The sequence below is a fragment of the Homo sapiens genome, chromosome 4, assembly GCF_000001405.40.
Source record: "Homo sapiens chromosome 4, GRCh38.p14 Primary Assembly".
Lineage (NCBI taxonomy): Eukaryota > Metazoa > Chordata > Mammalia > Primates > Hominidae > Homo > Homo sapiens.
The window spans coordinates 139289013-139313818 of NC_000004.12; the positions used below are offsets into that span (position 1 = coordinate 139289013).

At 41.9% G+C, this 24806-nt stretch overlaps 2 protein-coding genes across 9 annotated transcripts in view, besides 3 other annotated features; one reads left to right on the plus strand and one right to left on the minus strand.

Moving 5' to 3' along the window:
• Positions 1–904: 904 nt before the first annotated feature.
• NDUFC1 (NADH:ubiquinone oxidoreductase subunit C1) lies at positions 905–13539 on the minus strand. Of its 7 annotated transcripts, none has more exons than NM_001184988.1 (6): positions 13404–13539; positions 7320–7355; positions 6720–6948; positions 6031–6134; positions 3518–3597; positions 905–1080 (listed from the first exon to the last, which is right to left on the minus strand). In NM_001184988.1, the coding sequence occupies exons 3-5, from the start codon at positions 6784–6786 to the stop codon at positions 3538–3540; spliced, it is 231 nt and encodes a 76-aa protein (NP_001171917.1). In that variant the 5' UTR covers positions 6787–6948; positions 7320–7355; positions 13404–13539; the 3' UTR covers positions 905–1080; positions 3518–3537. The 7 variants fall into 7 exon arrangements, with proteins under 7 accessions (NP_001171917.1, NP_001171915.1, NP_001171919.1 ...); NM_001184986.1 differs by lacking the exons at positions 7320–7355; positions 13404–13539 and adding exons at positions 8373–8431; positions 11590–12198; NM_001184989.2 differs by lacking the exon at positions 7320–7355 and adding an exon at positions 8373–8431 and having other exon boundaries at positions 919–1080; positions 13404–13465.
• Positions 6579–7142: an enhancer, noted in NCBI's record as "H3K27ac hESC enhancer chr4:140216745-140217308 (GRCh37/hg19 assembly coordinates)". NCBI's record gives its function as "activates a minimal SCP1, AML or CMV promoter by ChIP-STARR-seq in naive H9 embryonic stem cells {active_cell/tissue: H9 hESC(naive)}" and the evidence as "EXISTENCE:reporter gene assay evidence [ECO:0000049][PMID:30033119]".
• Positions 11884–12003: an enhancer, noted in NCBI's record as "active region_21922". NCBI's record gives its function as "activates an Ori minimal core promoter by ATAC-STARR-seq in GM12878 lymphoblastoid cells {active_cell/tissue: GM12878}" and the evidence as "EXISTENCE:reporter gene assay evidence [ECO:0000049][PMID:35858748]".
• Positions 12484–12543: an enhancer, noted in NCBI's record as "active region_21923". NCBI's record gives its function as "activates an Ori minimal core promoter by ATAC-STARR-seq in GM12878 lymphoblastoid cells {active_cell/tissue: GM12878}" and the evidence as "EXISTENCE:reporter gene assay evidence [ECO:0000049][PMID:35858748]".
• Positions 12493–24806, plus strand: part of NAA15 (N-alpha-acetyltransferase 15, NatA auxiliary subunit) — an 89880-nt gene continuing 77566 nt past the window's right edge. For both annotated transcript variants that reach the window (NM_057175.5, NM_001410842.1), the window contains exon 1: positions 12493–12819. In NM_057175.5, coding sequence (NP_476516.1) covers positions 12766–12819 — 54 coding nt within the window. In that variant the 5' untranslated portion in view covers positions 12493–12765. The remainder of the gene's footprint in view (positions 12820–24806) is intronic.

A 24806-nucleotide genomic window follows, 5' to 3' on the forward strand; every position in this document is an offset into this window, starting at 1 on the left:
TCCCAGCTACTCGGAGAGGCTAAGGCAGGAGAATGGCATGAACCCGGGAGGCGGAGCTTGCAGTGAGCTGAGATCACGCCACTGCACTCCAGCCTGGGCGACAGAGCAAGACTCCGTCTCAAAAAAAAAAAAAAAAAAAAAAAAAAAAAAGAGCTAGAGTTTGCTAAATCATAGACTTAAAGTCATATTAGCAAAAAAAAAAAGACAACAAATTTTGTGTTGCCATAACAGTGTGTAAAAGTAGTCGCCCAAATGAAAATCATTCAAATTAAAGGAGTCAGAAAACACTCTGGTAACAGGATTCATCCTTCCTTTCTAACTTACCAAAATGACTCCTCTAGAGAAAACAATCTTTGTGATCCTATGTTTTCTGAGTAACAAGGTAGTTCTGCCTTCCTGATATACTAAATAAATGTTCTGATCAGAAATTAAGAGGTGATAACAAGAGTAAATCCTTCAGCCCTGATTTTCTTTTTTTTTAACACAGAGTTTCACTCTTGTTGCCCAGGCTGGAGCGCAATGGCACGATATCGGCTCACCACAACCTCTGCCTCCCAGGTTCAAGTGATTCTCCTGCCTCAGCCTCCTGAGTAGCTGGGATTACAGGCATGTGCCACCATGCCCGGCTAATTTTTTTATTTTTAGTAGAGATGGGGTTTCTCCATGTTGGTCAGGCTGGTCTTGAACTCCCAACCTCAGGTGATCTGCCTGCCTCGGCCTCCCAAAGTGCTGGGATTACAGGCGTTGAGCCACCGCGCCCAGCCAGCCCTGATTTTTGAATCTATGTTCACAACAACTTTTCTTACCAAAGTGTCCTTAATTACCACTGACCTTGTTATCAGGTGGTACCTTCCATATTGAAATACTTCTATTAATGTACCTTAGAATTAACATTTTCTACAAGTTGTCACAATATGCTTTATCTGAAGAATACAGAAGTATTTTTATTTCTTTTTATTTAATGATGCAAAATACAAATGCTGGCTTGATATATATTCACATATAACTTTTTCTCTCACATTTACAACTCAACAGATGGTGAATCCAGAGGAACAGCTACAATCACTATACGGAGCATACCTATAATGAAGAAAAAAAAAACTGTAGCATTAACCAGCAGAAATAATATTAAAATTAAACTACTCTGAATTCACCTTAGAACATCAGAAAAAGTCTAGAAAAGACCCACAAAGAGTACCAATACCTTATTTTATTTAATTTTAACAAAAAATATTTTGCCTTAACTATGAAAGAACAGCAAAAGCCATCTGGTTTGTATTTCAATGCCTATTTCATTTTTACCTCTTTTTTTTTTTTTTTTTTTTGGTAGAGACAAAGTCACTATGTTGCCCAAACTCCTGGGCATATGCTATCCCGCTGCCTAGGCCTCCCAAAGTACTGAGATTACAGGCATGAGCCACCAAGCCCAGACTCATTTTATCTCTTGATTGGCTGATTAGAGTAGTGAAATGGGCAGGGTGCTAATAGAAAAAAGGCAAAAGATTTGGATAATCAACAGTAAAGAGCTCAGTTTCAGAGTTATAAAATATGGAAAAAAAGGATAGTCTGTGATCGCTATGTTTATTATACAGCAGATATAAGTTACTTAATCAACCCAATTATGAAAGCTGAGATTTTTAAGTGACTGTTCACTTATAAAAGGATTAATATAGGATTTTTAAAAAAGGTTTTCAGAAATACACCATATATATATATATATATGTACACTGTATATGGTATACTTATATATATTTGATACATATCTATAGATGAATATATTATTTATTCATTCATTTATTTTTGAGACAGAGTCTTGTTCTGTTGCCCAGGCTGGCTGGAGTGCAGTAGCCCAATATTGGCTCAATGCAACCTCCCAGCCTCTGCCTCTTGGGTTAAAGCAATTATCGTGCCTCAGCCTCCCAAAGTAGCTGGGACTACGGGCGCGCACCACCATGCCTAGCTATTTTTTGTGTATTTTTAGTACTGATGGGGTTTCGCCACGTTGGCCAGGCTGGTCTCTAACTCCTTGCCTTAAGTGATCCACTCGCCTCAGCCTCTCAAAGTGTTAGGATTACAGGCGTGAGCCACTGCGCCCAGCCAGATGTATATATTTTATATATATATATATAATAAACTTTCTCTTTTAAATCACAGACCATGCAGAATAAACTATCTTGTTCATAACTAGGTTTTTTACCAGGAACTGTCCAACTGGGTATTAGTTGAGTTGACAATCATAATGAAATAGTCATGCAGAAAAAAATTTAAAAATTGATTGCTCTGGCCAGGCGCAGTGGCTCACGCCTGTAATCCCAGCACTTTGGGAGGCCGAGGCGGGCAGATCACGAGGTCAAGAGATGGAGACCATCCTGGCCAACATGGGAAAAGCCCGTCTCTATCAAAAATACAAAAATTAGCTGGGCGTGGTAGCGCGCACCTGTAGTCCCAGCTACTCGAGAGGCTGAGGCAGGAGAATTGCTTGAACCTGGGAGGCGGAGGTTGCAGTGAGCCAAGATTGTGCCACTGCACTCCAGCCTGGTGGCTCCGTCTCAAAAAATAAAATAAAATAAAAAGAATCGATTGCCGTTATACATTCATCACTTCTACAAATATTAAACTCCTAAATGGACCAGATGAGCAAGTTGCTGAATAAAGGATAATTAATAAAATAGGTTTCTGTTCTCATGGAATTCACACTCAAGTGTACAAGATACCAAACAGACATTAAGAAATACACACACGAAGAATAATAATTTGTCATAAGTGCTATGAAAGCAAAGTGTAAAGCACTATCAGATTTAAGAAAATAATATGATTTTGGGTTCATTCTTTTTTTTTTTTTGAGAAGGAGTCTCACTCTGTCACCCAGGCTGGAGTGCAGTGGCACGATCTTGGCTCACTGCAAACTCTGCCTCCCGGGTTCACGCCATTCTCCTGCCTCAGCCTCGCGAGTAGCTGAGACTACAGGCGCCCGCCACAACACCTGGCTAATTTTTTTGTATTTTTGGTAGAGACGGTGTTTCACTGTGTTAGCCAGGATGGTCTTGATCTCCTGACCTTGTGATCCACCCGCCTCGGCCTCCCAAAGTGCTGGGATTACAGGCGTGAGCCACCGCGCCTGGCAGATTTTGGTTTCATTCTTAAACATACCTTTCTTTGAACAGAGTCAAAGACTAATGATTAAAAATGATTACGCTAAAAGATTCTTGAGGCTAGCAAAGTGGCTCATACCTATAATTCCAACATTTTCAGAAGCTGAGGCAAGGAGTGAGACCAGCCTGGCCAACAGGTCTACAAACAAACAAACAACAAACAAAAAAAACCCCATCCCCCCCAAAACAAAACCAACTGCTTGAGGCAAGGTATTACAAATTTATAAATTTGTCACAGACAGAAATATGGGTGCTAAAATGTATAAACCTAATACAAAACAAACAACAAGCTTGTTTTTCAGTATTTAAAAAAGAGGTCAAGTTAATTTGCATAATCTATTCATCCAATAAGCTTGTATACTTACTACATTAGTGTTTCAAAAGTTTATTCCAGCCCATTTCTTCTTTTGTACTCTAAAATATCTTCATTGTGTTGTTTGATGAGCTACAAAGAGTTAAACAGTTAAAATTAGAAATGTAATCTTCCTGGATACTTATATTTTGTAAAGGAATAAGGATAGAAAAAATAAACAACTATTCTAGTTAGAAATAAAAGGCTAAGAGATCCAAAAGTTCAAAAACCAGGAATGGTATAAACTTGCTCACCACAATGTGACATCCTAAATTTGAGAAGGGAGCCCTTAAATATATATATATATATTTATTTATTTATTTAGAGACGGAGTTTTGCTCCACCCCAGGCTGGAGTGGAATGGCGTGATCTTGGCTCACTGCAACCTCCTTCTTCTGGGTTCAAGCGATTCTCCTGCCTCAACCTCCTGAATAGCTGGGATTACAGGCGCCTGCCACCACGCCTGGCTAATTTTTGTATCTTTAGTAGAGATGGGGTTTCACCATGTTGGCCAGGCTGGTCTCGAACTCTGAGCTCAGGTGATCCACCCGCCTCGGCCTCCCAAAGTGTTGGGATTACAGGCATGAGCCACCGCACCTGGCCAAAAATTTAAATTAAACTACTGCCAAAAATTTTACCTCATTTGGTGGGTAATAAACGTAATGAAATGGCTTATCATGAAGGGGTAAATCAATATGATACAGCACAACTTGGTTATTAAATGGGATCCAGGCTGGTTGGTGGGTGCGTGTTATGCTTCTAATCTTAGAAGTAGGATACCTTGATTGAATGACCAACCCCATCACGAAACTGTATGTGTATTAATTAGATGTCATGGAGGACAGTCACATTTTTAGGACCACTGTCTGACAGAATATGCAACTGGAAAAATGGCTTATATACGATGACATTCATGGCAATCAAAGATCCAAGTTCAATCACTAGTGCTCTCAGCAGTAATTAAGCTTCTTGTTAGAGAAAACCTTAAATTAAGAATGTATAAAATTCATTATAAGCAACATTATTCAAAAAGATGAGTTACTATTAAGTTGTAAGTGACTCAAAATCTCTCACCCCTTTCCAAGTCAAAAATCTGAACCACTTCAACAAGAAAATTTAAAATATCTTAGAGCTGGGGGACAGTGGAGGAAGTCCCAAACCCATTAGATAAAAAACAAAATTTTAAATATTAATATAGCAGATACTTTAACTTTAAAAAGAAATTTTATCCCAACAGAGGCAGTGTTTCACAGTCTTTTCTAGGATAGTGTGGCCTCTGAAGTCAGGAGAACTGGGTTCAGCAAACTAGTTTCTCCAAGTGTTTCTTATCTGTAACGGGTCAACAATAGTAGGTGCCACGTAGTGTTGTTGAAATGATTAAACGCAAGTTTATGTGTAAAGCATGTGGTGTGAATTTTTTTTTTTTTTTTTTTTTTTTTTTTTGAGACAGAGTCTCGCTGTATCTCCCAGGCTGGAGTGCGGTAGCACGATCTCGGCTCACTGCAAGCTCCACCTCCCGGGTTCACACCATTCTGCTGTCTCAGCCTCCTGAACAGCTGGGACTACAGGCGCCCTTCGCTACACCTGGCTAATTTTTTTTGTATTTTTGGTAGAGACGAGGTTTCACTGTGTTAGCCAGGATGGTCTGGATCTCTTGACCTCGTGATCCGCCCACCTTGGCCTCCCAAAGTGCTGGGATTACAGGTGTGAGCCACCACGTCCGGCCTGAAAATTTTTTTAAAAAGGTCGCTACACACTATGTACAATTTCCAACAATGTATTTATACAAACATTGATTAAAACCTAATGGAAGTCTACTGGGATTCAATTTGTACAACTTGCACACTGCTGGTTTGTCCTTACAGCATCTGAAAAAGGTACCTTCATAAAACTCCAATTAGCCTCAATTCTCATTAAGAAATAAAGTATAATTACTATTGCCGGGCGTGGTGGCTCACGCCTGTAATCAGAACACTTTGGGAGGCCGAGGCGGGCGGATCAATAGGTCAGGAGATCGAGACCATCCTGGCTAATACGGTGAAACCCCGTCTCTACCAACAATACAAAAATTAGCCGGGCGTGGTGGCGGGCGCCTGTAGTCCTAGCTACTTGGGAGGCTGAGGCAGGAGAATGGCGTGAACCCGCGAGGCAGAGCTTTCAGTGAGCCGAGATCACGCCACTGCACTCCAGCCTGGGAGACAGAGTGAGACTCCATCTCAAAAAAAAAAAAAAAAAGTATAATTACTATTTAGTAAAACTGCCATTCCTTACAAAACCATGTTAAGGAACAATAACAGAAATTTTAGTCCCATCATACTTTTTCAATGTTGCTGAAATCTTAATTTCTTTTTAGTCCTTGGGATTTCTCTTATGGAAAAATACGTATCAGCGATTATATAAATATCCTACTGTTATGAGAGTTTCACTGCCATACAACATATAACAGCACCATTCAATCTCGCAATGTTATGTCATTCCCTTACCACGCTGGTGTAGTCTCACGACATCCGGGAGTAAAGTACTTACATAGATCCACAAGAAGACAGTGGTGCCCAAGGTGAACCCAACTTTCAGCCAGTCAGGTTTGGCATTCGGCGGCTCTCGCACGTAGAACTTTGATCGCACTGAAGCTGAAAGGGGAAGAGGGTCTGTAAATTTGTAACTTACTGCCTTGTAGGGAAAAAACCCTAACATTTACGTGCGTATTATCGCATTTAATTCTCCCTTCAACTCCCCCATCTCCCACTTAAACAGCCAAGGAAATAGAGGTTCAAAGAGATCAAGTACCTCGCCCAGGGCCACTGGCGAGTTAGACAGGACGCACCTGTCCTGTCCGAGGCTTTCAAAGCCTCGTTTAAGGGCTTGCGGACCCTCAGACGACTCGGGAGTGGTCATGTAAGGGGCGCCCCGGGGAGGGTGTCTCCTCTCCCGGTTTACGGGACCTAACGTACAGAGGTGGGGAAGGCAAGGACCCAAAGTCCATTTACAAAGGCCAAGAGTGGTCAGGTTGAACTTGGATAAGTGCTAGAGGCGGGTGATGGGGAGCAGAGAGCCCTGCGTAGGGGACAGGCGTGGGCTGGGCCTTGGGTCGTCTGCCGGCGAAGGTCACTGCAGGACGAACCCGGGCCGCTGCCGCCTCCTGCACCCGTGGGCTGGGTCCGCCTTAGGAGGGGTAATCTGAGGGTCGAGTCGGCCTGCACGAGGAGGATACTCACGGCCGCTCGGGAGCCTGGCGGGGGCCAGCAGCCGGGAAAGGGGACGCAGCAAGGCGGACGGCGCCATCTTGCGTGGCCCAGCTCAGTCTCTCCGAGTTGGCAACAGAACCAGCGCCACCTGGCGGCCGGAAGTGCGGGACTCGAGGGCTCTGCAGCAGAGCTCCGTGGGGGCGTCAACGTGAATTCCAGCACGGCAAGGTTCTCTAGCACCCCGGCCTCAGCCTTCTGTCTATACAGTGGAATTAGGAAGAAAATAATTAAAAGAAAAAAGAGTTTACCTATTCTCTGTCCTCTGGGGGTTTTTCACCCCATCTCTACGGCTATTCATCAAGAGGTTTATTAAAATTTTCCTACATGAGCCAGAAGAAAGAAAAGTGTCGTGCTGAATAATAACTAGCATTTGGATTGAATTCTGTGGTCCAGGCACGGTGCATTAATGTATCATATGGTTTACATTCATTGTCTTATTTCATCTTCAAAACGAGCACATATCATGCCGTGGTTATAAGCCTCAATTTACAGATGAAGCTTAAAGAAGACAGCTACTCATCCAAGGTGACATATTATATTTTACAGTTGAAAAGATCTCTTAACACTTACCACTTACACTCACGATCATACTGAAGCCTCACAAACCTGTGAAGTAGAATTAGTGCCTTAGGTAGGCTTAAGATCACACAGATGGCAGAGGTGGGATACAGTTTGAGGTCTTCTGACTCCAGATCTAGTGATCCTCATTAGCCCACCTAACAGACTTGGACCACCCTAGACCATAAGCTGTAGAATCAGCGTTCAAAGCCATTCTGCTCACCACTTTTTAGCTCTATGATTTCTAGGCAAATTACTTAACCTCTCTATACCTAAGTTTTACATCTGTAACATAAAACCTATAGGGTTGCTGAGAAGCTTAAACAAGTGTCTGGTAGTAGTAAACAATTTATTTGGTTTTGCCTATTAAAGACATCGTTCTGAGGAATAGGTTTTATCTTGCACAGTTGAGCCAGATCTTTGTACATTCAATTCAGTTCAATCTGATGTCTAAAGACCAGTAAAAATATTTATAGGTAACAGACAATACATTTTGACCCTTTAAAACTAATCCTTTAAACTTTATGTCATTAATTTTAAAACCAAAATAAATGTTAGCAAATCTCCTATATTCTCTTTAGCAATGTTATTTTAAGATCTTTTTTAACCAAAAATTATTGACCAAAAAGTCAATTAATTGCACTGTGTTTTCTGGCTCATTTTAACATGCAAATGGTGGCTAAATGGATTGCTAAATTGTGAGTCACTTTAGTTTGTAACCTAGTTTGAGCCTCCTGGACTCATGCTCAAGTAAGTAAACTACCCAATGAATGTGCTGAGCCAGTTGTTGGTTCGCCACTTATTGTCCACTCAGCAACCTGTCAGTTGTATATCCTTTCTACACCATCCGTTGGAAGCTTGTCCTGATGAAGCTTTTGCTAGTATCCAACAAGTTGAAACAGATGCTATCTTTAGTCAGAGTATTCAGAACCAGTAAGCAAATTACTAATTTCAGTACTGCTATTGAGAAAGACTGCTTTGTTCTTTTTCAGAGCTTTGGCCCTTGTATCCTTTTACTAGTGTGTATTTTGGGAAAGTGATGAAGTATAAGCACATTTTTCTCACCATATTAGAGCTGATGGGAACTGTACACTTGGAGTACCCAGCTGTATGTGAAACTGCATCTAGAAAAGAATCCTGATTAAGTAATTCCAGCTAGGAACTAATATCTATAATATTTTGTTAGAAGTTGCTTCATAACATTCATGTAAGCATCTTCAGAATTTGAACACTAAAATCTTATTTATGATCCAGGTGAAAAGAGAGAGGATTTGAGTTAGCAGCTAGAAAAGCAAAGTTTCAGTCCAAGATTTTTCCACTGGGAAAAAATCACATCTCCCAAGGAAGGTAAAAAAAGAGCAAGAATTGAAAAACAGTATAAAATGCAAAAAACAAAACAAAAAATCCCTATTTTTATTGATACAGCATGCATGAGAATACTATGAATCAAACTTAGGACTTGGGCCAGTCACAGTGGCTCAGGCCTCTAATCCTAGCACTTTGTGAGAACAAGGTAAATGGATTGCCTGAGTCCAGGAGGTCAAGACTGGCCTGTGCAACATAGGTAGATAACTATCTCTACAAAATGATTTTTTAAAAAATTAGCTGGGTGTGGTGGTGCATGTCTGTGGTTCCAGCTACTCGGGAGGCTGAGGTTGGAAGATCGCTTGGACCTGGGAGGTGAGGCTACAGTAAGCCAAGACTCTGCCACTGTACTCCAGCCTCGGTGACACAGTGAGACCCTGTCACAAAAACAAAACAAAAGAAAAAAACCAACAACCTCCCACCTCCCCACACACCAAGATGTATCTATAAGTTTTTATTTTTTAAGACTCAGCAGCTGGGCGCCCTGGCTCACGCCTGTAATCCCAGCACTTTGGGAGGCCGAGGCGGGCGGATCACCTGAGGTCGGGAGTTCAAGACCAGCCTGACCAACATGGAGAAACCCTGTCTCTACTAAAAATACAAAATTAGCCGGGCATGGTGGTGCATGCCTGTAATTCCAGCTACTCGGGAGGCTGAGGCAGGAAAATCGCTTGAACCCAGGAGGCAGAGTTGCGGTGAGCTGAGATCGCACCATTGCACTCTAGCCTGGGCGACAAGAGCGAAACTCTGTCTCAAAAAAAAAAAAAAAAAAAAAGATTCAGCAGCAGGCCGGGCGTTGGGGCTCACATCTATAATCCCAGCACTTTGGGAGGCTGCGGTGGGTGGATTGCTTAAGCCCAGGAGTTCAAGAGTAGCCTGGGCAACATTGAGAAATCCTGTCTATACACACACACAAAAAAAACCCAGAAGCAATAGCAAATTGTTAACATTTGTTAAATCTAGGTGACAAATACATGAATTTCTTTTATATTCTTTTTTTTTTTTTGGAACAAGGTCTCAGCTCTGTTGCCCAGGCCGGAGAGCAGAGGTGTCATCACAGCTCACTGCAGTCTCGACCTCTGGGGCCGAAGGAATCTTCCCACCCAAGCCCACAAAGTAGCTGGGACTACAGGCTCACAGCACCACACCTGGCAAATTTTAAAATTTTTTTGTAGAGACAGGGTCTCACTATGTTGCCCAGGTTGGTCTCAAACTTCTGGGCTCAAGCGATCTTCCTGCCTCAGCCTCCCAGTGTCGGGATTATAGGTATGAGGCATTATGCCTGGCCTATGTTTTTTTTTTTGAGATGTAGTCTCACTCTGTTGTCCAGGCTGGAGTGCAGTGGTGCGATCTTGGCTCACTGCAACCTCCACCTCCCAGGTTCAAGCGATTGTCTTGCCTCAGCCTCCTGGATAGCTGGGGTTACAGGCACGCACCACCACACCCGGCTAATTTTTGTATTTTTAGTAGAGACGGGGTTTCACCATGTTGGTCAGGCTGGTCTTGAACTCCTGACCTTGTGATCCGCCCGCCTCAGCCTCCCAAAGTGCTGGGATTACAGGTGTGAGCCACCAAGCCCAGCCTTTTTTTTTTTTTTAAATAAGATCCAAGTACTTAATAAGATGTAACAGTCTCAATAGAGAACATCTTACATATATGGAGAAATTTCACTCAACATATCCCTTTTGTAGAATTAAAGTTTGCAAGGTAAATGATTTTATTTCTTTCTTTTTGGTTAATATTTTTTAGAGTTAGCATTTGGAACATAGTGACATGCAAGCACATGGGGTAAGATGAATTAACTATCATCAGCAGCAGCAGCGGCAGCATATAGCCTTGGATATGTTAACTTTCTGAAAGCATGGCTGTTACTTACAGTATAACTCAAATGGGATCTCTATTTGTGAAATTGTGGTGATCAGAGTAAATATATATTTTTTTATTCAATTCAGGCTACTGTGTGGTCAGACTGTTATCTGTAGGTGCATTTTAACTAGCAAATGAATCAGTTAAATGTTGAATCAGACTAGTATTTGCCGAGCCTTTAAAATTGCCATTTCTTTGTCATCACCCAAAAAGAATGTAACATTTGCCAAACTCTATTTCTGGCTCATCTAATCAGGTACTCAGGTTCTGGTGGAAGCTACTGATTGTTTCAAAGACCAGAAATTTTCTTCCTCTGAAGGAAAATAGAATATTCTTTACAGGAGAAATTTAGAGAACTATAGCAAATAGTATTGCTGTAGGGATTTTTGGATATGAAGCCAGAAATTTGGATATGAAGCCAGAGATTTGGAAATCCAAGCTAAAACTATCAACTGCATTTAGACTATTTTTTCTGTCTTTCAATAGTTCAGACAGTTGAAAGATCTCTTGGGGCAGTGAATTTTGCAGGTTATTACTAAGTAACAGCTTAAAAATGAATTATAAGCTTGTTCTTAGTTTTATAAAGTTAAGGTTAAAATACTGGCCATATTTCAAACTGAAACATAGTTTCCTGTATATATGATTTTTCTCAAACTTTTGAAGAGAGATCACAGAATTTAAGGAAACTCCAGGATTTGACTGTTAAAAACCTTATTTATGACCCCGGTGAAGGGCGAGGACAATCAATATAGCAGCTACAAAACCCAAGTTTATATTGGGAAACATGTATCTCAACTCACACCTTTCAGGGACAGTTAAGAGAAGTTTGAAAATTAAAATATCTTTGCAAATAAATTTAAAACAGTAAAAAACACGCACATATTGTTTAATAATTCATGATGCAAAGAATGCTACAGAGTGAAATCAGGATTTGGAAAGAGGTAATCAAAAACCAAAGGTTAAAAGTGGCTCATATAACTTGAAAATTTTTAGATCAATGGAATGCCACTTTGAAAAAGTTTTACGGTCAGCTGTTAATGAAATGACTTACATTTTTGGAAGGACTCCTATTCGGTATGTAGTCTGACCTCGCCTACTCGAGTAGTTCCCTCTAGTATCCTTGCCAGTCTTTGGCTTCTAAGATCTGAGAATTTCTGGGGATGGGGAGTTCGAGTCACAATATTAAGAACTAGTTTGAAGCCAGCTCCAGGGTAGTCTGTCTTTAAGTCTCCACTACTCCGCTCCAAGGTGACTCATAAGGTCGGTCCGTCAACTCTGCATTATATGGCCTCAACAACGAAATTAAAACACATACTTTAACCTCCAGAGCCTCCTTTGGCAGTGCAAATATGTCACTTCGGATCTGACTAACTACCTTTCCAGGCTGATCTTAAGCAACATTCACCAAATTACCGATACGACAGCCAGGCCCATTTCATCGGTCAAGCTCTTTCACGATTTCCAGACTCTGTTAAGCCCCTTTCTCCCCAGGGCTGTTAACAAGTCTCCACTGCGGTGAAGCTTTTTTCATTTTCCACTCCGCCTCTGCTCCTTAAATTAGGCATTTCGTCCATAATCAACTACAGCGCTTCTCAAACACCTACACCTGTATTTTAGCACTTTGGGCTCAAACGATGATCACACAGTGTGCGAGACTCTTTCCAAGGAATGAAAGGTCGATCTAGCAGGAAGGCGCCAGAGAGGCTGTTTTTGATGAGGAGGCGGTCTGAACCGTACTTGCCTAGCCTCCCGTAGCTCCGCGGGCGCTTCGAGGGTACCACGCACTGAAATGATGGGCGGGGCCTGCCCCGACCCTCCCGGCCTCCACAGGCAGGCCAGCCTCCAGGTTTCCCGGCAAGCTCCGAAACCCAGAGGAGGTGGGGAAAGGAGGTCACCGCGCCTGCGTGTTAGGAAGCGTGACCCGGGTGGGAAAACCCTCCGCGTCCGCCATTTTGGCTGCCTCTGTCGGTCTGTTCAGTTACCACGTGAACCGCCGACGGAGACCCGTAGTGGGGGAGGCGGCGGCAGCGTTAAGTGAGAAAGGAAAAAAGACAACGAGGAAAAAGGAGGTGTCCGGGTAGGGCAACGCGGCGACACCCGAGGCCTGGTGGTGGCGGCGGATCGAGATATTCAAGGCTGAAGCAGCTACGGAACGGCAGCGGCGGCGGTCGGACAAACTGACTGACCGAGCCGGGTGGTGGCGGGAGCAGCGGGAGCAGCCGGAACGATGCCGGCCGTGAGCCTCCCGCCCAAGGAGAATGCGCTCTTCAAGCGGATCTTGGTAAGTGTGAGGCTCCGGGCAAGCGGTGGGGAGGATTTAGCCGGTAACCGGGCCTGTCACCCCTAACCTCGGCCCGGCGGGCACTGAGCCACTCCCGCCCGGGACCCCGCCTTCATAGCTCTCGTCAGGCCGAATGCATTGCTTTGCTCCCTCTCTGTGGTTCCTACTATGGCCCGCGCGCCAGGGACCACAGGCTTCTTCATTCCATCCCCACGCTTGAGGCCCTGGTTCCGGACTAGGCCCCGACCTCCCGGCTTCTAGACTGCCGGTTCTCATTCTCCCCGATCTGGGGGAGAAGAGGCCCGGCCTTTGGCGGGCAAGTGGGCGACACCGGCAGGAGTCGCGGCCCGGTTGGTGTGGGAACCCTGCTGGCAGGTCGGGGTGGCACCCTTGGAAGGAACAGGTGGTGCGGATGCAGCAGGCTCATTCATTGCCTAAACGCGGTTCTCCCTCCATCATCTGTCCCTCCCTCTTCCTCCTCTCTTGGGATTCACCTGTCTCCGCCCGGCCCGGGGTCACCCAATGACCTGAGAGGAGGGAAAGAAGGAGTTCAGAGAAGGAAAGAAAGCTTTTCAAACGACTACCTCCTTGTAGTCAGTTGCATACTGGAGTCTTCAGCTCCTCTGCCTCCGTTGTTCTCGTTTCTGGAGTAGGGATGAGGCATTTATTTCTTAGTTTCCGAGCGGGAAACAGCCCCACCCCGTCACTCTTCTCGGGAGGTGGGGCCCATTGCGAGGGGGCGGTTCGGTAGGAAGTAAAAAGTTGAGTCTTTAGTTGAAACGTTGCAGACCTAGACTTTTCTTATACACTGAAGTATATTAACACATGCAAAAACTTACCAGAGAAATGAGAATATAAGAACTTTTGAGATGGATTTTGTTGACGCTAGCTCAGACTTATTCCCTACGGTTCAAATGTGTGCAGTTTGTATTTTTTTAAACCATAAATGCATTGATGTTTGCAGGGACTGTTTACATTGTAAAATATGTCCTGTAGCCTTGGAGCTATAATTAACACATTGTAGCACATTTTTTGTTTGGCATTTAGTATGTGGGTTCCCCCTTTCACGCAAACGTTTCCTTATGATAGAATTAACTGTATTTGCCAAATTTAAGACTTTTAAAATTTGGGATGTGTGTGTGAAAGTGTTAGCCTTTTCCCCCGCAGTTATAATTTATTTCACCTGTTTGAAAAGTAGAACAACTCTGGGGATTCAGTTTTTCTAGAAATGAATAATCATCCATTTGAACTAACTTTGATTTTACAAAAGTGTCCATATGCCCTACAGATTTAGTGAATTCATTTTGAAAAACATTAGAAAGTCACATGCAGTGTCGCAAAACTGTTACCTTGAAATTCTTACTGGAATTTTGTTTTGTTTTAAGACTAAGAGTGTAGGTGGAGCTGTAAAATAGTTTTAGGAAAAAAGTTACTTTTAAACCCTTAAAAAGACTAATTGGTGTGCAGGTAGAACTGTAACATAAGTTTAGAATAGCAATTTATCTTTAATCTCTTTTTCACAATTCTTTATTTTGAAAAAAATGAAACTGAAAAGTTGAGAGAACAAGGAACACTCATAAACCTTTACTTATATTTATTTGCCATATATGCTTTCTCTCTCCCTATGTATATGTATATATACATTTGTATAAAAGTAAGTTGTAGATGTAAAATTTATCTCTAGGCTGGGCACGGTGTCTCATGCCTGTAATCCCAGCACTTTGGGAGGCTGAGGCAGATGGATCACTTGAGGTCAGGAGTTCGAGACCAGGCTGGCCAACGTAGTGAAATCCTGTCTCTACTGAAAATACAAAAATTAGTCAGGCATGGTGGTGTTCGCCTGTAGTCCCAGCTACTAGGGTGGCTGAGGCACAAGAATCGCTTGAACCCGGGAGGTGGAGGTTGCAGTTCCAGCCTTGGCAACAGAGGAAGACTGTCTCAAAACAAAAACAAAAAACTTCATCTCTAAATACTTAAGCAAGCATCTCCTAAGAATAAGGACATCGTCTTGTATACTTATAACAATCATTCTCTAATATTGTCTAATATCTGGTTCATATGGAGATTTTCTCAAGTGTTAGCACTTTTTTTTGTTTGTTTGTTTGAGACGGAGTCTCGCTCTGTCGCCCAGGCTGGAATGCAGTGGCGCGATCTCGGCTCACTGCAAGCTCCGCCTCCTGGGTTGACGCCATTCTCCTGCCTTAGCCTCCCAAGTAGCTGGGACTACAGGTGCCCGCCACCACGCCTGGCTAATTTTTTGTATTTTTTAGTAGAGACGGGGTTTCACCATGTTAGCCAGGATGGTCTCAATCTCCTGACCTAGTGATCCGCCCGCCTCGGCCTTCCGAAGTGCTGCTATTACAGGCGTCAGCCACCGCACCCGGCCAAGTGTTAGCACTTTTTAAATAAATCAAACTTTTAATTTTGAGAAGACTGTAATAATCACGTAGTTTAAGGAATAATACAGTGCACTTTACTCAGTTTTCCCAACACTAATACCTTGCAAAACCATGGTTCATTATTATAACATTGATACAATCCACCAGTCTTATTCAGATTTCCCCACTTTACTTGTACACGCGTGTGAGTGCTCGCGCACGCGGGTGCAGTCATCCCTTGGTATCTGTCGGGGGTTGATTTCAGGATCCCGCGAGATTCCAAAATTTGCAGGTGTTTGAGTCCCTTATGTAAAGTGGTGTAGTATTTGCATATAACCTATGCGAATGTATACTTTAAATATCTCTAGATTACTTATAATACCTAATGCAATATTACTGTTATATAGTTATACTGTATTTTAAAAATTTGTATTTTTTATTGTATTTTTAAAAATAGTTTTTACCTATGGATGCAGACACCAAGGATAATGAGAGCTGACTGTATTTACTTCTATGCAGCGTTATCCCATGTATAGATTGCACCACTACAATTAGGCTACAGAACAAGTTCCTTCAGTCCAAAGTACCCCCCTCTGTTGCCCTTTTAGAACCACATCCATTATCTCTCCCACCGCCCTCCCATCCCCTCTCGCTGCAGGCTCCAGCAACCGGTACATGTCCTCTATTTGTATAATTTTGCCATTCTTTTGGGTTTAGAGATAGAGTCTTCCTCTGTTGCCCAGGCTGGAGTGTAGTGGCTATTTATAGGCTCTATCAAAAGGGCACTGTAACCTCAAACTACTGGACTCAAGCAGTCCTCCCGCTTCAGCCTCCGGAGTAGGGGGGATCACTACAGGGCTACTACATCCAGCTAATAGTTTATTCCTTTTTATTGCCAAGTAGTATTCCATGATATGGATGTACCACAGTGTGTTTAACCATCCATATAATAGCAATTTTTGATTAAACATCTTAATTTTTTTGTGGTAGTGTTAGTGGGGCAAAAACCTGTAAGTTTATTGCCAAAATCACAGTGCTGAAGATCTATTGATAAGTTATATGTGAGAGAAATGTGGAAGTCACTAAATGAAGGAAGAGTAAAGGAGCTAAAATGTCCTTATTGTTCTCATACATTAGGAATGAAGAAAGTGTTACTGACCAAAAGGATAGTATTGATTTTTTGAAATTGCTTCTGTTTCTTGAGATTTGATAGTAAGTTAGTGCTTTTAAGATTTTTTTTTTTTTTGCCCGGTCTGATAAAGGAAATGTTGGACATAATGTGATGTGTGTGCTCTATGTAATCAAGTGTTGCTAGGTTGGTAACTTGTTGTTTTTTTTTTTTTTTGAGACGGAGTTTCGCTTTTGTTGCCCAGGCTGGAGGGCAATGGCATGATCTCGGCTCACCGAAACCTCTGTCTCCCGGGTTCAAGCAGTTCTGCTTCAGCGTCCTGAGTAGCTGGGATTACAGGCGTGTGCCACCACACCTAGCTAATTTTGTATTGTTAGTAGAGATGGGGTTTCTCCATGTTGTTCAGGCTCGTCTCAAACTCCCAGCCTCAAGTGATCCACCCGCCTTGGCCTCCCAGAATGCTGGGATTACAGGCCTGAGCCACTGCTCCTGGCTGCTTGGTAACTTGTTAAATCATTCCTGCAGCATTCAACTTTTGAGCTGCTACTTTGTTAGTTGTACTGTACTTGTTATGATAAACTTAAGTAGGAAATACAGTTAGTTTGTATTTCAAAATAAACATTTTTTTCCTTAAATTTTTAATGGAAACCTGCTTTACACATAAGTTTGCAAAAATTTTAGAGTTTCTGCAGTGGATTTGCCTGGCTTGATCTAGTCTAGTTGATCTCTAAAATTCAGTTTTGTTGTATATTTTTCTCTTTTTTCCAATATTACTCTTCTGTTTTCTGACTAAAGCATTGTCCTAAGTTAGTCAAAATGCTTGCATAATGTTTCTTGCTGATAATTTGTCTAGAAAAAGGATGGGATGAATTTAATGTGACATATACTATGTAAGAGTTTATTTTATTTTGTTTGTTTTTTGAGACAGTTTTGCTCTGTCACCCAGGCTGGAGTGCAGTGGTGTGATCTTGGCTCACTGCAACCTCCACCTCCTGGGTTCATGCCTCAGCCTCCCAAGTAGCTGGGATTACAGGCGCCTGCCACCACACTCGGCTAATTTTTTTTTTTGTATTTTTAGTAGAGATGGTGTTTCACCATGTTGGCCAGGCTGGTCTTGAACTAGTGACCTCAAGTGTTCTGCCTGCCTCGGCCTCCCAAAGTGCTGGGATTACAGGCATGAGCCACTGCACCTGGTCCTATGTAAGAGTTTAAGGAAGACTTGTGTTTGCCAGAAGCTGGTTTTTTTTTTTTTGGTCTGGTTTTTTTTTTGTTTTGTTTTGTTTTGTTTTGTTTGTAATTACAAACTTTTAACTTATTTGGAAAATTAAGTCATTAGAAAATTGTGGCCTTTGCCTACTGTTGATGCTATTTGTTTATCTAAAAGTTTGAGGAGGTTACCAGATATTTATACCACTTTGTTAGGATCTAGGTTAAGGGTAGGAAAAATGAGGTTGCCAGAGTAGAACAAAATCCACACCTTAGATTTTAACCTGCTTGGAAAAGATGGACATATCCTAATGCCTTTCAATCAAGTATTGGTAGGTTGGTTGCTGTTGCTGCTGCTTCCTTCTCTCTTTTTTGCTCTTCAAATGTTAATGTCAGTTATAAGAAAAATCTAAGTTGGGAATAGTTAAAATATTGTACATCAATAAATGTAGTTTTGGACTTTAGCCTGAATGATTTAAATTGTTAGTTGTAAGTGTTAAAGGACAGAATTTTTCTTTCCTAGAAAAGTGGTGAGAGAAGTTAAAATAGCATGATGATTATGTTTGTGATTTGTCACTATTTGCCAGGTAAAATGAGAAATCTACCATTTGCCAGGCTCTGCTCTAGGTGCTTTAGAATAGCACTGCACAGTAGAATTTTCTGTGATGATGGAAATATTTGTTATCTGCTCTAATATGATAGCCATTGGCCATGTGTAGGTTTGTTTTTTGTTGTTTTTGTTAAGACAGGGTCTAACTCTATCACACAGTCTGGAGTGCAGTGGTTTGATCACGGCTCACTGCAGCCTCCACCTCCCGGGCTCAAGCTATCCTCCTAGCTCAGTCTCCCGAGTAGCTGCGACTACAGGCGTGCCACCACGCCTGGCTAATTTTTGTATTTTTGGTAGAGACGGGGTTTCGCCATGTTGGCCAGGCTAGTCTTGAACTCCTGGGATCAAGCAGTCCTCCTGCCTTGGCTTCCCAAAGTGCTGGGATTACAGATGTGAGCTACTGTGCCTGGCCTGGCCACATGTAATTATTGCACACTTGAAATATGGCTAGTGCAACTGAGGAAATGAATTTTTAATTAATCTTAATTTAAATTCAAATAGTCACATGTGGTGAATGGTTACCGTTTTGGACACAGCATGCTTTATTTAGAGTCCTTTCTTAATTCTCAAAACTTTTCAAGGTGGGGACATTTTTATTAAGCAAACAGACTGAGATTAAGGTCAACAGCTAGTGTTAGTTACAGTCTGGAATAAAACTTTTTTTCTTTTCAGGGCACTTAACATCACACCTGCCTAGTGTTTAACTATTTAGGGGAGGGGTGTAGGAGGAGGGTGAGGGAATTGTTAGGCAAAGGAGTAGTAATACTTATTAGGTGGCTGTATACATTGTATAATAAGTAAATTATTATTATTATTATTATTTTTTTGAGACGGAGTCTCACTGTTGCCCAGGCTGGAGTGTAGTGGTGCAATCTCGGCTCATTGCATGCTCTGCCTCCCGGGTTCACGCCATTCTCCTGCCTCAGCCTCCTGAGTAGCTGAGACTACAGGCACCTGCCACCACACCCAGCTAATTTTTTGTATTTTTAGTAGAGACGGGGTTTCACCGTGTTAGCCAGGATGGTCTCGATCTCCTGACCTCCTGATCTGCCCGCCTTGGCCTCCCTAAGTGCTAGGATTACAGGCATGAACCACCGCGCCCGGCCCATTGTATAATAGGTAAATTATTTTATGTGATTTATTTTCTTTGGGAAAGTTAATGTTTCTGCTAGTTAATGATACTTAGTTTAGCTTCAGTTGCTGATGAAATTTAGATTAGGAATTGTTAGCAAGTAGGTGTCCATATGCACATGAAAGTTTAACTGATTAATTTCTTTGTGACAGAATTCCAGTTTTGCAACTAAGAGTGGACAGTAACTTTGAAATTGGTTTTAATATACTTTTGCTTGTACTTCATATATTTAGAATATAACAAAAAATCAAAAAATGGAAACAAAGTTTGGTCTGTTCTGAAATCCCATTCAGCTCTTAGTAGTTAATCATAAGTTTATTTATTTTTTTGAGATGGAGTCTCACTTTTGTCGTCCAGGCTGGAGTACAGTGGCGTGATCTCAGCTCACTGCACTCTCCGACTCACTGCAACCTCCACCTCCCAGGTTCAAGTGATTCTCCTGCCTCAGCCTCCCCAGTAGCTGGGATTACAGGTGTCCACCACCACACCCAGCTAAGTTTTATATTTTTAGTACAGACAGGGTTTCGCCATGTTGGCGAGGCTGGTCTCAGACTGCTTACCTCGGGTGATCCACCCACCTCAGCCTCTCCCAAGTGCTGGGATTACAGGCGTGAGCCACCGCACCCTGCCGGTAATCGTAAATTTAAACTCGGATAAATTATCCCTTAAAAGTATACCAGAAAACAAAATGCAGTTTTGCTATTTTATATATGTGTATATAATGTGTATATAATTATTATAAAAATTACAAAATGATTTTTCTGTAAAAATCGAGTGAGGGCCGGGCACAGTGGCTCACGCCTGTAATCCCAGCACTTTGGGAGGCTGAGGCGGGTGGATCACCTGAGGTCAGGAGTTAGAGACCAGCCTGGCCAACATGGTGAAACCCCGTCTTTACTAAAAATACGAAACTTAGCTGGGCGTGGTTGCAGGCACCTGTAATCCCAGCTACTTGGGAGGCTGAGGCGGGAGAATTATTTGAACCCAGGAGGTGGAGGTTGCAGTGAGCCGAGATCGCGCCATTGCTCTCCAGCCTGGGGGACAAGAGTGAAACTTCGTCTCAAAAAAAAAAAAAAAAATCTAGTGAGAAGTGAAAATCTTTTAATAATGTGGTAAATTTATTCTTTGCTTGCTTTTTAAGTGTGTGTGTGTGTGTGTGTGTGTGTGTGTGTGTGTGTGTGTGTCCAGGATTTCACTGTGTTGCCCAGGCTAGTCCTGAGCTCAGGTGATCCTCCTGCTTCAGCCTGCCAAGTAGCTGAGATTATGGTACATGCTACTGCGCCTGGCCTGTTTGCTTACTTTTTAATTTTTGTCTTTCTGGAGTGAGATGCAGTATGAATGAACAAATATATGTTTTTGTTTTAAACTGACAGCATATATTTTTAAAATTCTGTATTGTGTTAGAAACCTGAAATGTTTTAAAAAATATTTTTTAAAAATTCTTTTGCGTCAATAGAGTGGGTTAAAAATACTTGTTTGTGCAGAGTGACCACAGTTCAGTTTTCAATAGTAGTAGATGGACAACACTATATTTTCAGAAAAGCAGACTAAAGCTTAAAAGGGAACTGAATTTAATGTTCCATTTTTTAGATGTGTCAAAGTCTTGCAGTCCTGGGTCATTATTGGGGCTCAAACTAGTTATTTGATGATAATAGAATTGCCATCCAAACTATTGGAGCGCTGGTTAATGAACAGTTTCCAGAGGGGCGGGCATGGTGCTCGGTGTGATTGGGGGACTGGAGAGATACTGTCCAGCTGGCCTCAACTGAAGGGATCCCTCTCCTTAGTGTGCAGTCTTATATCTTTTAATATTTCTGCTTCTGACAATGAAGTTCTGACAGAGCATTGATTCAAATATATCTTCTTTCTTCATAAAAACATTTTTGGGCCGGGCGCGGTGGCTCACGCCTGTAATCCCAGCACTTTGGGAGGCCGAGGCGGGCGGATCACGAGGTCAGGAGATCGAGACCATCCTGGCTAAAACGGTGAAACCCTGTCTCTACTAAAAATACAAAAAATTAGCCGGGCGTAGTGGCGGGCGCCTGTAGTCCCAGCTACTTGGGAGGCTGAGGCAGGAGAATGGCGTGAACCCAGGAGGCGGAGCTTGCAGTGAGCCGAGATCCCGCCACTGCACTCCAGCCTGGGCGACAGAGCGAGACTCCGTCTCAAAAAAAAAAAAAAAACATTTTTGGACATAAAAAGCTATGTCGTATAAAGGATCATATGCAAAGGACTGTTCAGAATTTTCTCCCCCAGATACCTGTGTGACTCATTTTTCTTATTTGTTTTAGGACTTCTGCTCAGATGTCCTTTATTTTTAATTTTAAATTTATTTTTATTATTATTTTTTGAGACAGGGTTTTGCTCTGTCACTCAGCCTAGCATGCAGTGGCACAATTTTAGTTTACTTCAGCCTCTGCCTCCTGGGTTCAAGTGATTCTCCTGCCTCAGCTTCCTGAGTAGCTGGGATTCCAGGTGCCTCCTACCACACCTGGCTAATTTTTGTATTTTTAGTACAGGCGGGGTTTCACCATGTTGGCCAGGCTGGTCTTGAACTCCAGGCCTCAGGTGATCCACCTGCCTCGGCCTCCCAAAATGCTGGAATTACAGGTGTGAGCCATTATGCCTGGCCTAATTTAAAAAATTTTGAGACAGAGTCTTACTCTGTTGCCCAGGCTGGAGGGCTGGAGTGCAGTAGTGTGATCTCGGCTCACTGCAACCTCTGTCTCCTGGGTTCAAGCGATTCTCCCACCTTAGTCTTCTGGGTAGCTGGGACTACAGGCACATGCCACCATGCCTGGCTAAACAGGTGTCCTTTAAATGTTATTTAGAGACCTTCCTTGGCTAGCAGTCAGTCCTTCTCACCTTATTTTCTTATTTCTTACTTTATTCTCATTTATCAGCTTCTGACATACATTTACTTTTATGTTTATCACGTTTTCCACAATTAAAATGTAGGGTTTATGAAGATAAGGACGTCTGTTAATGGCTCTATTCACATTGGTTAAAATGATGTACCATAGTAGATGTTTAATAAATATTTGTTATGTGAAGTGAGTGTGAAAATAGTGATTACAGGGCAAGAGAGAAAAAGATCTTTGGATTGTGTGCTTGCATAAATTTTTGGAGAAGGGAGTTAAGCTGGGCTTTGGCATTACAGAGTACATTAGTGTATGAAATAATTGTAGGATATTGGGCAGAGCCTATATTATGGTAAGACTTTGAAGTTTAATTTATAAATGAATTATAGTATTTGTTTATATAGCCTTTCATCACAAAAGCATAATAAGAGGAAAATTTTGTTATTGTTTCTTTGGTTTTGGCATTGGAGGAGAAATGGTATCAGGATTAAATGAGTTTGTTGTGAGGAGCCTGCTGCTGTATTAGAATCTTCAGATAGTAGGGCTCAGCCATACGTCATTTCATAAAGCTTTACAACCGATTCTGACACGAAGTCAGGGTTGATGACCACTATATATGATATTAAGAAATAGACCTGTTATAAAATTTAAAATATAAAATGTTAGAAGAGCTGGGCGCAGGGGTGCATGCCAGTTACTCAGGAGTCTGAGGCAGCAAGATTGGTTGAGCTCAGGAGTTGAAGGCTATAGTTTGTGATTATTGCGCCTGTGAATTGCTACTGCACTCCAGCCTGGGCACCATAGCGAGACTCTATCTCTTTAAAAAAAAAATTTGAGGGAAAGTAATCGTAGTGTTAGAGTTGCTTTGTGTTTTTCAGAAAATTTAAAAATCAAGTTTAATTCTTGGTATGCTGGGAAGCTGATGTGGAAGAGAGAACAAGTCACATAACAGTGAGCTTAGCCAGCAATCAGCATTCATATCTAAATACAATTTTGCTCTCTATTTACAGGCAATATCCTGTTGAGGAGACAAACTTAAGATTCTTAGTGAGAAATAGTTCTGAAAAGAATGTCAGTTGCCAATTCTGATAGTAAGAAGGGTGAGTGAAGAGGCTTAAATTCAGTAATAGTTCTCAGTGTAAATGTTAGGGTGTGGAAGGAATTTTATGCTGTGGTTGTATTCTTGACTTTTGGAAATTTCCCTGAAATGCCAGCTGTAGGCTTAAACATCTAAGTTGTTTTATGATACATGCTGTACAAACTTGTATTAAAGTTGTAACTTTAAGAACACTAGTCTAACTTGTTGCCTGTGGTTTTTTTCCTCCTAGGTAAGATAGGAAATTATATTGTTCACTACTTAATATGGCATTAAAATAATCCCTTACACTTTTAACTAAAGCAATCTTTTCTTTCCTTGTTATTTAGAAGTAAAATAGCTTGTAATCCCATCGCTTTGGGAGGCCAATGTGGAAAATCTCTTGAAGTCGGGAGTTTGAGACCAGCCTGGGCAACATAGCAAGGCTCTGTCTCTGTAAAAAATGAAAAAGTTACTTGGATGTGGTGGTGGTGCAAACCTGTAGTCCTAGCTACTTGGGAGGCTGAGGTGGAGGACCGCTTGAGCCTAGGAGTTCAAGACTGCAGTGAGCTATCATCATGCCACTGCACTCCAGCCTGGGTGACAGAATGAGACCTTGTCTGGGGGGGAAAAAAAAAGTAAAATAAAAATTGCAGTGTAAGAATTAAATGATGGACAGGTTGATGTTTTTGTTATCTGATGGGCTCTACTGCACTTTCTTTGGTTAGTATAATATGAACAAATCTTCAGTTGAAATAATGTGAAATTTCTACTGAAACACCTTGGGGAAATAATATTATTTGAAGCCAGTATTATTTTTAATTTTAAAGATTCCATTTGATTTTATTACAGAGGAGATTATGTAAACATTCCTGAGTGGCATCTGTAAGAGTTGTTTTATCTGATTACATAAAAGGAGAAGTGAAAGTTTGCTTTTAAAAACAGTAGACCTAGGGAAAAAAAGCCTGGCCTTGGTTGGTTGTCTCCTTTTACACATGGTTGCTGTTCAAATTCAAAAACTTTTTTTTCCTCTCACAATAAAATGGCTAAAATGGCTTACACTTAAAATGTTACTCTATTTTTCAAAGAGAACTTGTTGGGTAGTACAAGATTACCTTTAATTATCAATGTTTGAGGACCAAGTTAGAATTTTTAAGAAGGGGAACATTAAGCAAAGCAGTATTTATTTAGTATCTATTTTGAGCCAGATTTTATGCTAGACTTTTTACATGTTAGCTGATATAAACTTTGTGACACTCCCTTAAGGAAATTGTAAGTATAGCCAATACTTAATGACTACATTGTTACAGTATATTTCTTTCTTTTTTTTTTTTTTGAGACGGAGTTTCGCTTTTGTTGCCGAAGCTGGAGTGTAGTGGCCGCGTGATCTTGGCTCACTGCAACCTCCGCCTCCCTGGTTCAAGTGATTCTCCTGCCTCAGCCTCCCGAGTAGCTGGGGTTACAGGCATGTGCCTCCATGCCCGGCTAATTTTGTAATTTTAGTAGAGACAGGGTTTCTCCATTGGCTGGCCTCTAACTCCTGACCTCAGGTGATCTGCCCGCCTCGGCCTACCAAAGTGCTGGCATTACAGGTGT

What these genes read in the sequence shown, in the direction of transcription:
- NDUFC1 (NM_001184990.1), bottom strand. Translation starts at nt 6,786, where the DNA reads ATGGCGCCGTCCGCCTTGCTGCGTCCCCTTTCCCGGCTGCTGGCCCCC. An exon ending in CGCCAGGCTCCCGAGCGGCC is followed by an intron (nt 6,135 to 6,719) that starts GTGAGTATCCTC and finishes TTCCCCTTTCAG; the next exon opens with CTTCAGTGCGATCAAAGTTC. An exon ending in CTGTCTTCTTGTGGATCTAT is followed by an intron (nt 3,598 to 6,030) that starts GTAAGTACTTTA and finishes AACTCTTTGTAG; the next exon opens with CTCATCAAACAACACAATGA.